At 43.0% G+C, this 17,658-nt stretch overlaps 2 annotated features.

Annotated features, from left to right (window-relative positions):
- Positions 3,951 to 4,837: a transcriptional cis regulatory region, noted in NCBI's record as "candidate enhancer chr6.1221 targeted for multiplex CRISPR interference". NCBI's record gives its function as "positively regulates H4C8 gene expression with high confidence in K562 cells {active_cell/tissue: K562}" and the evidence as "EXISTENCE:mutant phenotype evidence [ECO:0000015][PMID:30612741]".
- Positions 4,046 to 4,611: an enhancer, noted in NCBI's record as "H3K27ac hESC enhancer chr6:27156216-27156781 (GRCh37/hg19 assembly coordinates)". NCBI's record gives its function as "activates a minimal SCP1, AML or CMV promoter by ChIP-STARR-seq in primed H9 embryonic stem cells {active_cell/tissue: H9 hESC(primed)}" and the evidence as "EXISTENCE:reporter gene assay evidence [ECO:0000049][PMID:30033119]".

The raw sequence follows: 17,658 nt of genomic DNA on the forward strand, positions 1-17,658 counted from the left end.
CTGCCTACAAAACTGACTCTTGCACTGAACGGGCATGAATCTGGCATTAGTGGTTTTGCTATACTTGGGGAGATGTTATATGGACTACCAAGTATCAGGGCTGGACCTCCTCAGAGGGTTGCACCGCCCTAAAACCCTACCTCCACTTCACCAAAGGAACCACCCCCTCTAATTGCCAATCTCACCATTGCAACCCAGTACTTATCTCTATTAATACCCCTACCTCCACTAACCCTGCACCCACTTTAGAGCGCTTTTATGGCCTAGGAGCAGATATCACTGGAAAGGACCCTATAGGCTTCTTTGAAATGTGCTTGGTTCCTCCTTCTCCATCTTGTACCATTACCCCCTCCCACACAATTAAACCATTTCTCGCTTCATGCCGAATGACAAAACCAAGTAGCTATAGTAGATGTCAAGGACTTGAAGCAAACCCTAACCATAGAAACCAGGTATCAAGATATAAATGCCTGGCTGGAACGGATTAAATATTCTGTTCGCACTCTAAATAAAAGCAATGGTTACGCTTGTGCAATGGGCAGGCCAACAAACCCAAATTGTTCCTTTCCCACATGGATGGGCCAACCAACTTGGCATGGATTTTATGGTAGGCCTCTTCCAGCATCCCACAGCCTGGGGAAACAAGTCATGCACCACTCTTTCACTACTTTTCCCAAAGGTAAAGAGCCCTATGGAACTGCCCCCAAGGGACATTTAATCTCCAGCTCTCGATGCCAATTTTACCTTGTGTCTCTCACAGCAAGGGAAACATTTGACATACCTTGGAAACCTGACGGGATGTAGTGGGCCTAAACTTTTTTAAGAGCTAACCACTCAGTCAGCCCTAGTCTATCCCCAAGCAGATGTGTGGGACCTAGTCTATCCCTGAGCAGTATTGTGGGGGACCAACATTGGGTACACTGCCAAGCAACTGGAGCAGCACTTGCGCTCTGATCCAATTAGCCATCCCTTTCACCTTGGCATTTCATCAACCAGACAGGAAGCAAGTAACCTGAAGAAAAAGAGAAGCCTTTCACGGGTCCTTTGACCTGCACATTACATAGACAGTATCGGGGTCCCGCAGGGGGTACCAAATGAATTCAAAGCTTGAAACCAAATAGCCACCGGGTTCGAGCCTATCTTATTCTGGTGGTCCACTATTAACAAAAATGTAGACTGGATAAATTATATATACTACAATCAGGAGCAATTTGTCAATTATACCAGAGATGCCATAAAAGGAATAGCTGAACAGTTAGACCCAACGAGCCAGATGGCCTGGGAAACTAGAATAGCCCTTGACATGATGTTAGCTGAAAAGGGCAGACTTTGTGTCATGATCGGGGTCCAGTGTTGTACTTTTTTATTCCTAATAATACAGCCCCTGACGGGACAATCACAAAAGCCTTGCAAGGCCTTACCACCCTAGCAAGTGAATTAGCGGAAAACTCTGGAATAGACGACCCCTTTATGGGCCTGATGGAAAGGTGGTTTGGAAAATGGAAAGGACTCATGACCTCAGTCTTTACCTTCCTTGCGATTGTTACAGATGTACTCATCCTTGTGAGCTGCTGTATCATACCTTGTATTCGTGGGTTAACCCAAAGGCTCATAGAAGCAGCTCTTACAAAAACCTCCCTCACCTTTCCCCCTCTGTATTCAGATAAGCTCTTGCTCTTAGATAATCAAGAAGAACAAAAAAAAAAAAAACAAATCCTGTTGAAGAAATTTGAAGAGGAAGAACTATAAAACAGAAGAGGGGAAATGGTTGGGACAACTAAGTTGCTCTTCAAAGACTCAACTTTCTGGTCATAAGTTGTAAAAGTTGTAAATCAATCCTACCCCCCGCTCCCCCCCGCCCCACCTCTTCTTTTCACAAATGGTGGGTTTACCCTATTTGGAAAAGTTTAAGTTTTAGCCAGTCAGGATCAGCTTAGATTGTGCAGTCCAACCCCAGCCAACAGGGGAAGAACATAGAAACAGGAACTGCGTTAGTATTAAAAACTCCTTCCCGCTTTTGTTCGTTGTGCTCTTGCGATTGTAACAGGTGCAAGCAGCACTCTTCTGCAGAAGTAAAGGTGTCTTGCTGAGGAATTTTCTGTCTAAGCGTGAGTTTCTTTGGGCTACAATGAGCACTTGTTTCCAACGATAGGGAGGAGGCGGTAAATATCTGCCCTTGCGAGGGTTCCTTTCAGGCCAGGGCCTGATCCACCCGTGGGCAGTGGTAAACCCATAGAGGAGCCAGCAGAGCCCCGGAGTCACCCCGTGCCTGCTGTCTTGTGGACCCTACAATTCTCCCATTTCTTTTATACTTTTCTACTCCTTTGATTCATCCGAAGTTATTGACTCATTTACTCTCTCTCTCTCTGTCTATATACAGGTATGTATCTCATACTTGAAGGACATTTTTTCCCTTTTTTTGTTTTGTTTTTGAGAAAGGAGAGCCATATCTTTCGATGAGCCAGGTCAACTATTTACTTATTTTTGTTTTGTAATTTGTAAATTTTGTTTTTAATTTAAAGATAGGCACAAGATTGGCTGGCGCGGTGGCTCACGCCTGTAATCCCAGTACTTTGGGAGGCCGCGGCGGGGAGATCACGAGGTCAGGAGATCAAGACCATCCTGGCCAACGTGGTGAAACCCTGTCTCTATAAAATACAAACAAAATTAGCCAAGCGTGGTGGCACGCACCTATAGTCCCAGCTTCTCGGGAGGCTGACGGAGGAGAATGGTGTGAACTCGGGAAGCCGAGGTTGCAGTGAGCTGAGATTGCGCCACTGCACTCCAGCCTGGGCAACAGAGCGGGACTCCATCTCAAACAAACAAACAAAAAAAGATAGACACAAGATCATGTTTCTTATCTTTAGCACACTTCATTAACTCTGTTTCTGCATCTACCATGTGAAATAGTAGTTGTCTTTATTTGCTTTGTTGACTAGTAGAAATTTGATGGAAGATGAATGGTAAAACCAAAATTATTTTTTTACTACAGTACTTCTCGGTGGTACCTTCTCTTCTCTTTGTGCTTTACTGCCCCTCCTGCAGCTTTCCAAACCCTGAGAGATTGAGCTCTGCTGACCCAACAGGGTGTCAGCTGTTTGGGTTGCTGGACATTCTCTTGAAGATACATTGGGAAAAAGGCTTATGGGGCCATAAACTGGCAATAAAAATATGGGAGAGTAAGTTGTGGAAAGCCACAAGAGGCCTCTGAAGAGGAAAGCCTTCTTATCGCCATTATGTTCCCATGCTCTGAGTGCAACCTGCTCTCTTATCTATAAACACTGTGTTCAAGAAGAAAGACACTCCTTTGAAGCGTTGGAATGTAGACAGACGTGCAGGCTCCTAGTTAAGCCCGCTCCCACTAGCTACTCTCCAATAAGTTAAAGATACGCTGTTTGGGCACAAAGGAGATTCATTTAAACCGCTATTGCTATAGATTACGCCTGTAACACGCTGCCTCCCTTTCACCATTTCGCCCTAAATGTCTGCTTTTTGGATCTAAGTGATTGTACTCAATAAATAGTGTGGAGACCAGAGCTGGGCGCCTTTTGCAGCCTCCATTTTGCAATTGGCCCCCTGGCCCCCACTCTTTATACACTCTTAACCTGTCTCTTCTCATTCCTTTGTCGCCACCGGACTTTAGGTACCCTAAGGGTGGTATTGAGGCTGGTCCCCAACATTCTGGTGCCCAACGTGGGGCTCGAAAGAATCTGATGAAGGAATGCTCGAGCGTGTGAAACGGAGGGCTGATGGACGAAGGACTCCCGAGGACGAAAAAGTTTTTAAGCTCTGCAGGTAAGCAGGGCACTTGGAGAAAGCCAGGGACACAATGGGGAAAACTGAAAGTAAGTACACCACGTATTTGAGCTTGCTAGGGCGGCTGTTGAAGCGTGATGGCGTAAAAGTTGGTACAAAAAATCGTATGAATTAATTTCATGCTGTAGAACAATTTTGCCCTTGGTTCCCTGAACAGGGAACTTTGAAATTAAGAGATTGGGAAAGAGTTGGAAAGGACCTTTAAAAAGCACGTAGAGAAGGAAAGGAAATTCGTTTGCCTGTTTGGTCAGTTTGGTCATTGGTGCGTGCCGCACTGGAGCCATTTCAGACAAATGATGAGGCTGAGTCAGAGGAGGAGAAGGAGGAGTTTGATAATCAGGACTCTGAAACGCCTCTACCGAGTACTAGCCAAAAGGAGAGTCCGGAAGTAATTTATGCCAATCCCCCCAGTCTTCCTAAACCTATTCAGAAACTCATTCAGCTCAGGGTTCCTCAAGAGGAATGTCCGGAATGGCCACCTCCTCCTCAGCCGAGTGAGTGCAGGCGGAGGGAGCCTGAGACTCCGCTGCCGAGACTCGGCTGGCCGCGCTCATTATTGCCCGACCCGCAGTTCATTATGGAGAGGGGGTAATTCAGGTTCGCCCTGCAGTTCATTACAGTGAAGGAGCAATTTCCCTTAAAATGGATGACCCAGCGCCCTGTCTGGGTCGAACAGTGGCCTAAGGAAAAATTGGGGGCGCTTTATGAAATAGTTAAAGAACTACTAGAAAAAGGATATATTTCACCCACTTTCTCTCCTTAGAATTCCCCAATAGTTGTAATTAAGAAAAAGTCCGGTAGATGGCACATGCTGACCGACTTGCGAGTGGCCAACGCTGTAATTCAACCGATGGGAGCCTTACAACCTGGGCTCCCATCCCCCACTATGCTCCTTAAAGACTGGCTGCTCATTATTATAGATTTAAAAGACTGCCTTGTTTTACAATTCTTTTAGCAGAGGCAGATTTCGAAAAATTTGCCTTTACTGTCCCTGCCATTAAAAACAAAGAACCTGCAGCCAGATATCATTAGAAGGTTTTACTCCGGGGTATGTTAAACAGTCCCACAATCTGTCAAACTTTTGTAGGCAGAACTATCCAGCCTGTTAGAGATCAATTTCCAGATGTGTGCAGCAAAAAATAGAGATCAACCTATTCAATGTTATTCATCTTTACAAAAGGCAATTACAAACGCTGAATTGCGTATAGCACCTGACAAAATTCAAACAACCACTCCTTTTCAGTATTTGGGGATGCAAGTACAGGATACAGCCATTAAGCCTCAAAAGGTTCAAATTTAAAAAGATTATTTAAAAACCTTAAATGATTTTCAAAAATTGTTAGGAGATATTAATTGGATTCGGCCCACCTTAGGAATTCCTACTTATGCTATGTCTAATCTCTTCTCAATATTGAGGGGAAATTCCAACTTACAAAGTAACAGAGAACTAACACCGAGGCCATAAAAGAGTTAAAAGTAATTGAAGACAAAAATTCAACAAGCCCAGGTCAGTAAGATTGACTCAGACTCGCCTTTACAATTCATTGTGTTCCCTACTTCACATTCCCCAATGGGGGTTACTGTTCAAAATAATGATTTAGTTAAATGGTCTTTTTTTGCCACATAATACCATAAAAACACTCACAGTATATTTAGATCAGATGGCAATTCTAATTGGACAGGCTCGTCACGAATTGTTAAACTTTGTGGCACTGAGCCCAATAAGATTATAATTCCAATAAATAAAAATCAGGTAAAACAGGCATTTATTAACTCAGTTACATGGCAAGTTAATTTAACAGAATTTGTTGAATGTATTGATAATCATTATCCTAAAAATAAAATTTTCCAGTTTTTAAAATTAACTACATGGGTTCTTCCAAAAATTCCTTGTGATGCTCCTTTGGAAGGAGCTGTGACTGTTTTTACTGGTGGGTCTAGTAAACATTAAAAAAAGCGACAGTCTGGTGGAGACCACATAATCCAATCACTCGATCTGAATTTACTAACATTCAAAAAGCTAAGGTTATTCTGTTTAATTATTAAAGAACTTTTACAGCCTTAAGTTCGCTCTGGAGCCCAGTCTGTGTGTTCTTTTTCTTCAACTTCAGCAATTGCTAAACCAAGATACACATCCTATTTTTATTACACACATTCGAGCTCACAGCTCTCTGCCTGGCCCATTGGCTTACGGCAATAATCAAGCAGACCTTCAGGTTATGACATCACTGCTTGACCAAGTCACCCAATCACATCAATTTTCCCACCAAAATTGAAAAACTTATCTAAATAATTTCAACTTACACAGAGGCTGGCTAAGCAAATTATCCTACAATGCCCAGATTACCAGCTCACAAGCACGTCCCCTCCTTCAACAGGTGTTAACCCTAGAGGATTAGAACCTAATCCATTGTGGCAAACAGATGTTAAACACATCCCTAAATTTTGGAAACTAAGATATGTACATATATCCATTGTTACCAACATTCATCTAATTATTACACATTAAAAAAATAAAAGAAAAAAGTAAAGAAAAAAGACTAAAAGAGACAAAAATCAAAACAAGATGCAAAAAAAAAAAAAAAAGACTGTGAAAAAAACGAAGTAGAGGCCGGGAGCGGTGGCTCACGCCTGTAATCCCAGCACTTTGGGAGGCCGAGGTGGGTGGATCACGAGGTCAGGAGATCGAGACCACGGTGAAACCCCGTCTCTACTAAAAGTACAAAAAATTAGCCGGGCGCGGTGGCGGGCGCCTGTAGTCCCAGCTACTCAGGAGGCTGAGGCAGGGGAATGGCGTGAACCCGGGAGGCAGAGCTTGCAGTGAGCCAAGATCGCGCCACTGCGCTCCAGCCTGGACGACACAGCAAGACTCCATCTCAAAAAAAAAAAAAAAAAGTGGAAAAAGGGAAAAAAAATCGGCTGGGCGCGGCGGCTCATGCCTGTAATACCAGCACTTTGGGAGCCCAAGGCGGGCAGATCATGAGGTCAGAAGATCGAGATCATCCTGGCTAACATGGTGAAACCCCCGTCTCTACCAAAAATACAAAAAATTAGCCAGGCATGGTGGCAGGCGCCTGTAGTCCCATCTACTTGGGAGGCTGAGCCAGGAGAATGGCGTGAACCCAGGAGGCAGAGGTTGCAGTGAGCCGAGATCGTGCCACTGCACTCCAGACTGGGCGACAGAGCGAGACTCCATCTCAAAACAAACAAAAAAAACTAAGAAAGTTATAAAAATGTACCTTTAGTAAAAAAAAGTTATAAAACAAAAATTTAAGACATGTTAAAAATTGTCTGTGAAAGTCGTGAAAAATGTTATTAAAAAATTTATGCAAAAAAGGTTGTATAATTTTTGTTTCAAAGGTCTAAGCAGGCCGGGCGCCAGTGGCTGACGCCTGTAATCCCAGCACTTTGGGAGGCCGAGGCAGGCGGATCACGAGGTCATGAGATCGAGACCATCCCGGCTAACACGGTGAAACCCCGTCTCTATTAAAATACAAAAAAAATTAGCCAGACGTGGTGGCGGGCGCCTGCAGTCCCAGTTACTAGGGAGGCTGAGGCAGGAGAATGGCATGAACCCGGGAGGCGGAGCTTGCAGTGAGCCGAGATCGTGCCACTGCACTCCAGCCTGGGCGACAGAGTGAGACTCCATCTCAAAAAAAAAAATTAAAAAATAAAAATAAAGGTCTAAGCAAGTTTTAAAATGATAATTGTAAAAAATTATGTGTGTAAACACATTTGCTAAAGTTAAAAAGGTATCATCCACTTTTTCTATAAACTAAACATTAAAATAAAACACAAGTTTTTCTGTTTTTTTATTTTTATTGTTTTTTGAGACAGAGTAGCTGGGACTACAGGCGCCCGCCACCATGCCCAACTACATTTTTTTGTATTTTTAGTAGAGACGGGTTTCACCGTGTTAGCCAGGATGGTCTCGATCTCCTGACCTCGTGATCTGCCCGCCTCGGCCTCCCAAAGTGCTGGGATTACAGGTGTGAGCCACTGCGCCCAGCCCACGAGTTTTTCTTAAAACACTAACCTGCTCTTTAAAGATTGTAAAAAGTCTCTTAGCGCAGGCACCACCCCTAAAATTTCTAGTATCAGCCTAAAGACTATGTCCTCATCAAAGGATGAAAAGAAGAAAAAAAAATTCAAGCAAGCCTAAAAAAGACTCTACAGAAATTGCAGCCTCAACAATGTGACTTCCACAAACAACACAGGCCCCAGACATTACGCTGAAAAAACAGAAGACTAAGCCAAATAATTTATTCGTTTTTAATTATCTCATTTTGCCTACTACCTATACCTGCTACACTCTATTAAGCTCATATCTTAAATCTGCCTTTCTTCTGCCCTGTTACTTTAAAAAACACCCCCTTCTCAGCTTCTAATAACATAACTGCTTGGCTAAAATAAATTAACATACCCCGAGTGGGGTTCCTCATTAATAACATATAGTGAACTAAGATGCCAAGTAACACTACAGGTCACTTTTTGACCGGAAAAAAATGTTGCTAATTATACTCAGGTTTGTCTTCTGTTATTTACTAATGCTAGGATGCAAAGCTGAAATAAGAGCAGTGAACTCCTCACCTGAAAAACCTGTGGCTACAACAGACCGAAATTATACCTATTGGGCAGATGTCCCATTTCCATCTTTAATTAGGCCTGTCACTTGGTTGGAACCCCCGGTTGAGGTTTATGTTAATGATAGTGTTTGGATACCTAAGCCTACAGATACTCATAGGCCCTCTCACACAAAAGAGAAAAAAATGTTAATAAATGTGTCCATAGGTTATTAGTTCCCCCCTCTTTGCCTAGGGCTGGCTATCAGTTGCCTAAAAGGCTACTGACAACATTGGCTAGTTAAAATTCCAGGTCATAATCAAAGACCAGTATCCTATCATTTATTGTCTGGATAGAGCCTGGATCATTCACAGAGTTTGGTTCAATTGAAACAGTTTAAGCCCAAAAAAAAGAGGTGTCAACAACCTCCACAATGGTCAAAAGATTTAGAAATATTAATTTAAAAGAATTGCAATTATTTAAAATAATTCCTATGCAATCGTCGTTAGTTGGTCCCCTAAGGGGACCTTTACAGTTAATTGTACCAATCAAAATAATAGATGCAAAACAAAACTAAAACAAATTCTATACTGTCAAAGAAACGACACTACTTACACTAAAAATCGTGCTCATTTTCCCATAATTTGGACCAATTTTAGTATGGCTGGCCCACATCCAAAAATGATTAATCCAGTAATAGGCCCTAAACATCCCAAATTATAAAAGTTAATAATGGCCCAATCTCATATTCAGGTTTAAAAAGAAAAATATTAACTTGATAGAGAAGGTAAGAGACTTCAATTTGTGTATCAGTTTTCTTCCAACCGAACAGTGCCCATTCAGAGTTGTGTCAAGCCTCCTTTTATGTTGATGATCAAAAATATTAATATTCAACCTACTTCTCAAACTATTATTTCTCAAAACTGTCACCTTTTCACCTGTGTTGATTCCACATTTGGTGTGAAGCCATCTGTGTTGCTGATGAGGGCTATAGAAGAAGTTTGGTTACCGGTTTCCCTCAATAGACGTTAGGAAGCCTCTCCTTCCATTCATATTGTCACAAAAATGTTGAGGAGTGTTTACCAAAACAAAAAGATTTATTTTTACCCTTATAGCAGTAATTATGGGCCTTATTGCAGCCACAGCTACTGCTGCGGCTGGTGAAATTGCTTTACACTCCTCTGTTCAAACTACAAAATATATAAATAATTGACAAAAAAATTCCTCAAAATAGTGGAATTCTCAGACCTGGATAGACCAACAATTGACAAATCAAATAAATGATCTTAGACAGACTGTTATTTAGATGGAAGATCATATAATGAGCTTAGAGCATCGATTACAAATACAATGTGATTAAAATACTTCTAATTTCTACATAACTCCCTGTTCGTATAATACTACTAAACATCATTTAAAAAAAGTTAGACGTCATCTAGAAAAAAAGAAATAAAAGTTTAACATTAGATTGTAGGGTCCAGCCCTACAGGGCCTGTGGGTTTTTTCTTCATGTGCGGAGATGAGAGATCATAGAAAAATAAAGACACGAGACAAAGAGATAGAATAAAAGACAGCTGGGCCCAGGGGACCACTACCCCCAACGAGCAGAGTGTGGAAGTGGCCCCGAACACAGCGAGAGAGAAATCCTCATTGGGTGCCAGATGTAGGGTCCAGTCCTACAGGGCCTGTGGGTTTTCTCTTCGTGTGCAGAGATGAGAGATAGTAGAAAAATAAAGACACGAGACAAAGAGATAGAAGAAAAGACAGCTAGGCCCAGGGGACCACTACCACTGATGCACAGAGTCCATTAGTGGCCCCAAATGCCTGGACGCACTGCTATTTATTGTATACAAGACAAGGGGGCAGGGTAAGGAGTGTGAGTCATCTCAAATGATTGATAAGGTCAAGCAAGTCACGTGTCCATGTGACAGGGGGCCTTTCCCTTTGTGGTAGCCAAAGCAGAGAGGGAGGACAGCATACATCAGCATTTCTTCTATGCACTTATCAGAGATTGATCAAAGACTTTAATACTTTCACTAATTCTGCTACTGCTATCTTCTAAGAACTTAAAAGGAGGAGCCAGGTGTACAGGCAGAACATGAAAGTGGACAAGGAGTGTGACCTTTGAAGCACAGCACCCCAGGGAGACGGCTAAGCCTCCGGATGACTGTGGGCAGGCCTGGCTAATGTCAGGCCTCCAACAAGAGCTGGTGGAGCAGAGTGTTCTCTAACTCCCCCAAGGAAAGAGAGATTCCCTTTCCCAGTCTGCTAAGTAACAGGTGCCTTCCAAGGCACTGACACTACTGCTAGACCAAGGTCTGCTAAGTAACGGGTGCCTTCCCAGGCACTGGCACTACTGCTAGACCAAGGAGCCCTCAAGCGGCCCTTATCTGGGCGTGACAGAGGGCTCACACTCTCGTCTTCTGGTCACTTCTCACAATGTCCCTTCAGCTCCTAACTCTGTACGGCCTGGTTTTTCTTTGGTAATAATAATAATACAAAGATTAATACTAAAAACTAATGATTAATAATATCCATTATAATCACCTCTGTATTCTATTTCTAAAATAACTTTTTCTTATCATAATTATTTTCTTTATTATACTGGAAGAGGTTGTGCCTTCAGTCTCTTGCCTCAGCACCTGGGTGGCTTTCTGCCCACATTAGATAAGGCCAAATTAAAAGACCAGGTTTTTAAAGCATCTCAGGCTCATTTAACTCTCCTGCCTGGGACTGACATTCTCACTGAAGCTACTGATGGACTTTCAGACATAAACCCTCTTAAATGGATTAAGACCATTAGAGGATCAACTATTGCAAATTTTGCTTTAATGTGTATCTGTTTATACTGTTTGCTTTTAGTCTACAAATACAGAAGACACCTCTAGAGAGAGACCAGACACCACGAACAAGCCTTAATAACAATGGTGGTTTTTAAAAAAAGTGGGGCATATTGGGAAAAAGGCTTGTGGGGTGCCTGCATAAGCTGGCCATAAAAATATGAGACAATAAGTTGTGGAAAGCCACAAGAGGCCTCTGAAGAGGAAAGCCTTCTTATCGCCATTATGTTCCCATGCTCTGAGTGCAACCTGCTCTCTTATCTATAAACACTGTGTTCAAGAAGAAAGACACTCCTTTGAAGCATTGGAATGTAGACAGACGTGCAGGCTCCTAGTTAAGCCCGCTCCCACTAGCTACACTCCGATAAGTTATAGATACGATGTTTGGGCACAAAGGAGATTCATTTAAACCGCTATTGCTATAGATTATGCCTATAACACACTGCCTCCCTTTCACCGTTTCGCCCTAAACGTCTGCTTCTTAGATGTAAGTGATTGTACTCAATAAATAGTGTGGAGACTGGAGCTTGGTGCCTTTTGCAGCCTCCATTTTGCAATTGGCCCCCTGGCCCCCACTCTTTATACACTTTAAACCTGTCTCTTCTCATTCCTTCGTCGCCACAAAGACTTTAACTACCCTATGGGTGGTGTTGAGGCTGGTCCCCAACAAAGATCTCTCTCCACTTAGAAAGCTTTGGAGGGGCTTCTCTCAGCTCTCCAGTCCTGGTACTTGGCAGCAGAAATACAAAGTGCGCTAGATTGATTTCTCTTAGTTTTGTGGCTGTGCTCACCAACTTCAAAAGACTTTGCACCTGAGGATGCCTCAGTGGATATTCCTCTCCACTTTCCAGCCTGCCCATTCACCTTCTTTTGGGATGCTCTCCTCTAGCAGAGACAACTGGCAGTGGTTTTTTGGCTACTTGGAATTCTGTGCTTGGGTCAAGTAGGCCCACAGGCAAATCTTAAAAATCTTTTGGAGTTTTGATGGCTTTTTCCCTCATTTAGTATTCAAGGGTTTCTCTTCCTCTGCTTGTCTGCCCATCTGCCAGGAACAAGGGCAGCTAGAAACCTCTTTTCTCATATGAAGACCTCTTTCTAGGTGGAATTTGATTAGATTCCTTTGTATCAATTCCCTGGTGGGTTCAGAAAATCTACTATTTTGTAGCTTATGCTCTTGCTTTAGTTATTAAATAGAGAGAAACAGACTCTTGCAATTTTCTACAACTTAACCAGAAATGGAATTCAGTGGGGTGTATTTTTAAATACATTTCCTGATTTCTGTGCCAAAATGCCTTTTGTCATGTCTTGAAACTATTTCCTTTAAGATACATAGCAACAGCCTAGCCACTCTCACTTAGAAAACTAACCGTTTGAGGGTCCACTTCATGCCAGGTGCTTTGCATGTTGTTTTAGGTAAACTTTAAATCACACCTCATTGATCCAATGGATATTGAGATAGCCATTATTGTTCTTATATTTAAGTTATGCAAAGTCACAAATAATGTCAACATGATGACACAAAAACATCAAGAAGTGAAACGGCTAACTACCTACAAGTGCATTCCTAAGCTTTACTTAGACTTCTAGATGAATCTGCTGGTCACATGAAGAGTGACAGGATGTCACATAAGCATTTGTTTACATTTCAGAAAGTTACCTTTAATAGTGTCCATTGATTACACAGATGTTTACTGAGAACGTGACATGATCCAGTCTAGTCTTTTTTTTTTTTTTTGGAGAGAGAGTCTCGCTCTGTCGCCCAGGGTGGAGTGCAGTGGCACGATCTCAGCTAACTGCAACCTCCGCCTCCCAGGTTCAAGCAATTCTCCTGCCTTGGCCTCTGGAGTAGCTGGGACTACAGGCGCATGCTGCCACACCTACCTAATACTTTGTATTTTAGTAGAGATGGCATTTCACCGTGTTGTCCAGGCTGTTCTCGAACTCCTGAACTCAGGCAATCTGCCCGCCTCAGCCTCCCACAGTGGTAGGATTACAGGCGTGAGCTACCGCGCCCGGCTGATCCAGTCTATTCTTTACTGTGGTCATAATGGCCCCCAAACCACACGTGGTCTCTCCTCCACTCTTCCAGACCTCAAAATCCAGAGCACTCATGACTTCTTAATAATTGCTTAAGTATCCAGATGGTCTTCTCCACCTAGGGAGTATCTTTATTTTACCTTATGAAAGATCTTCTTGGCCGGGCGCTGTGGCTCACAACTGTAATCTCAGCACTTTGGGAGGCCACCACGGACAGATCACTTCAGGTCAGGAGTTCAAGACCAACCTGACCAACATGGTGAAACCCCTTCTCTTCTAAAAATACAAAAATTAGCCAGGTGTGATGTGCCACGCCTGTAGTTCCAGCTACTGGAGAGGCTGAGGTGGGAGAATCGCTCAAACCCAGAAGGCAGGTGGAGGTTGCAGTGAGCAGAGATCACACCACTTCACTCCAGCCTGGACAACAGATTGACACTCCGTCAAAAAAAAAAAAAAAAAAAAAAAAAAGACAGGTGCAGTGGCTTATGCCTGTAATCCCAACACTTTGGGAGGCCGAGGTGGGCAGATCACGAGGTCAGGAGATCAGGACCATCCTGGCTAGCATGGTGAAATCCCATCTCTAATAAAATTCAAAAAATTAAATGGGCGTGGTGGCATGCACCTGTAATCCCAGCTACTCAGGAGGCTGAGGTAACAGAATTGCTTGAACCTGGGAGGTGGAGGTTGCAGTGAACCAAGATCACACCACTGCACTCCAGCCTGGATGACAGAGCGAGACTCTGTCTCGGAAAAAAAAAAGAAAAAAGAAAAGAAAAGTAATGTCTTGGCTGGGCACAGTGGCTCACACCTGTAATACCAGCACTTTGGGAGGCTGAGGCGGGTGGATCACCTGAGGTCAAGGGTTCCTGACCAGCATGTTGAAACCCCCTCTCTACTGAAAATACAAAAATTAGCTGGGCGTGGTGATGTGCACCTGTAATCCCAGATACTTGGGGGGCTGAGGCAGGAGAATCACTTGAACCCAGGAGGCAGAGGTTGCAGTGAGCCGAGATCACACCATTCCACTCCAGCCTGGGCAACAAGAGTGAAACTCCGTCTCAAAAAAAAAAAAAAAAAAGAAAAAAGAAAAAGAAAAAAGAAACGTCTCATCATATGTTTTCCCCATTCTCTAGTTGGTTCATATGTTTTATTACTGTTGAGCTCTGACAAGTGCTTTATACAGTATATTCTAGATACTAGTCTTTTACTGAATATGTTGTTTGCAAATATTTTCTCCTATCTGTAGCATGTCCTTTCTTACTATTATTAGACTCTCCAGCAGAGCAAAATGTTTTTTATTTTGATGGAATCTCATTTGTAAGTTTTTCTTTTTATGGGTCATGTTCTTGGTATCAAATCTAAGAACTCTGCCTAGCTCTAGATCCTGAAGATTTTCTCCCATGGTTTCTTCTCCTTTTTTTTTTTTTTTTGTAAAATTTTTCTTGTATTTACATTTTACATTTAAGTATGTGATGCATTTTTATGTATTATTTGTATAAAAAGATTTCAGTCAGATTTATTTTATACTTATTTATTTATTATTTATTATTTATTTATTTATTTGAGATGGAGTTTCGCTCTTGTTGCCCAGGCTGGAGTGCAATGGCGTGATATTGGCTCACCACAACCTCCGCCTCCTGGGTTCAAGTGATTCTCCTGCTTCTGCCTCCTGAGTAACTGGGATTACAGGTGTGCAACACCACACGCAGCTAAGTTTTTGTATTTTTAGTAGAGACGAGGTTTCTCCATGTTGGTCAGGCTGGTCTTGAACTCCCGACCTCACGTGATCCGCCTGCCTCAGCCTCCCAAAGTGTTAGGATTACAGGCGTGAGCCACCACGCCCAGCAAGCTTTATTTTTGTTCCTATGTTTGTCCAATTGATACAATAAGTACAATGTTAGAGTGAACCCCAAAAATCTGAGACAGGTCTCAGTTAATTTAGAAAATTTATTTTGCCAACATTCAGGACGCACACCCATGTCACAGTCTCATGAAGTCCTGATGACATGTGCCCAAGGTAGTCAGAGTACAGTTTGGTTTTATCCATTTTAGGGAGACATGAGACATCAATCAACATATGTAAGATGAACATTGGTTTGGTCTGGAAAGGTGGGACAACTCCAAGCGGGGGGAGAGGGCTTCCAGGTCATAGGTAGATAAGAGATAAATGGACCAGGCGCAGTGGCTCACGCCTGCAATCCTAGCACTTTGGGAGGCCGAGGCGGGCAGATTACCTGAGGTCGGGAGTTCGAGACCAGCCTGGCCAACATGGAGAAACCCCGTCTCTACTGAAAATACAAAATTAACCGTGCGTGATGGCGCATGCCTGTAATCCCAGCTACTCGGGAGGCTGAGGTAGGAGAATCGCTTGAACCTGGGAGGCAGAGGTTGCGATGAGCCGAGATCGCGCCATTGCACTCCAGCCTGGGCAACAAGAGTGAAACTCCGTCTCAAAAAAAAAAAAAAAAAAAAAAAAAAAAAAAAAAAAAGAGAGATAAATGGTTGCATTTATTTGAGTTTCTAATTAGCCTCTCCAAAGGAAGCAATCAGATATGCATTTATCTCAGTGAGCAGAGGGGTGGCTTTGAATAGAATGGGAGGCAGGTTTTCCCTAAGCAGTTCCCATTTTCCCTTTAGCTTAGTGATTTTGGGAGCCCAAGATATTTTCCTTTCACATTTGCTATAGAGTTTTTATAAAGATGCTGTTTATCAAATTGAGGAAGTTCATGTATTCCTATATTTTTGAGAATTTTTCTTTTAATTAAGAATTGGTATTGAATTTTTCTCCTCATCAATTAATATAATAATGTGATTTTCTTCCTTTGGTGTGACTATGGTACATTAATTACGTTGACTAATTTTCAAATGTTGAACAACCCTAGCATTCTTTTTTTTTTTTTTTTTTAGACGGAGTCTTGCTCTGTCATCCAGGCTGGAGTTCAAAGGCGAGATCTTTGCTCACTGCAACCTCAGCTTCCCAGGTTGAAGTGATTCTCGTACCTCAGCCTCCAGAGTAGCTGGAATTACAGGCACATGCCACCATGCCCGGCTAATGTTTTGCATTTTTAGTAGAAACAGGGTTTCCCAGCGTGGGCCAGGCTGGTCATAGAACTCCTGACCTCAAGTTATACTCCTGCCTTGGCCTCCCAGACCTCTGAAAGTGCTGGGATTACAAGTGTGAGCAACAACGCCTGGCCATGAACCACCCCTGCATTCTACTTGGTGATTATCTTGGTTTGCTAGGGCTACCATAGATGGGTGGACTTAAACAATGGAAATGTATTTTCTCGCAGCTGAGCCTAGAAATCCAAGAGCAAGGTGTCAGCCGGTTTGATTCCTTTTGAGGTAGCTCTCCTTGACTTGCAGAAGGCTGCCTTCTCGTTGTGTCCTCCCATGATTAACCACTCAGTCTGCGTGTTGCCTGTGTCCTAATCTCTTTTTTTTTTTGGAGACCGAGTGTCGCTCTGTCGCCCAGGCTGGAGTGCAGTGGTGCAATCTCGGCTCACTGCAACCTCTGCTTCCCGCTCAGCCTCCTACCTCCTGTCTCAGCCTCTCGAGTAGCTGGGATTACAGGCGTGTGCTAATTTTGTCAGGCCTGGCTGAATCTTGTATTTTTTTTTTAAAGTAAAGACAGAGTTTCGCCATTTTGGCCAGGCTGGTCTCGAACTACTGACCTCAGGTAGTCTGCCCGCCTCGGCCTTCCAAAGCGCTAGGATTACAGGCATGAGCCACTGCGCCCGGCCCCTAATCTCTTCTTATAAAGACACCAGTAATATTGTATTAGAGCTCATCCATATTCCCTCATTTTACTTTAATAACTTCTTTAAAGATCTTATCTCCACATATAGTCACATTCTAAGGAACTGGGAGTTAGGACTTCAGAATATACATTTTGGGAGAACACAATTCAGCCAATAACAGTCATAGTGTATAATTCTTTTTCTCTATTACTGTATTCTATTTGATAATATTGTGTTAAAAATTGTTGTATCTGTGTTGATGAGTTGTATTGGTCTGCAGTTTTCTTTTTTGTGCTGTCTTTGTCAGCCTTTATTTATTTATTTATTTTTTTGAGACGGAGTCTCTCTCTGTCACTCAGGCTGGAGTGCAGTGGCGCGATCTTGGCTCGCTGCAAGCTCCGCCTCCTGGGTTCACGCCATTCTCCTACCTCAGCCTCCCAAGTAGCTGGGACTACAGGCGCCCACCACCAAGCCCGGCTAATTTTTTTGTATTTTTATTAGAGAAGGGGTTTCACCATGTTAGCCAGAATGGTCTCCATCTCCTGACCTCGTGATCCGGCCGCCTCGGCCTCCCAAAGTGCTCGGATTACAGGCGTGACCCACCGCGCCTGGCCTATTTTTATTTTTTTGAGACAGAGTTTCGCTCGTGTTGCCCAGGCTGG

Source organism: Homo sapiens, chromosome 6 (assembly GCF_000001405.40).
Source record: "Homo sapiens chromosome 6, GRCh38.p14 Primary Assembly".
Lineage (NCBI taxonomy): Eukaryota > Metazoa > Chordata > Mammalia > Primates > Hominidae > Homo > Homo sapiens.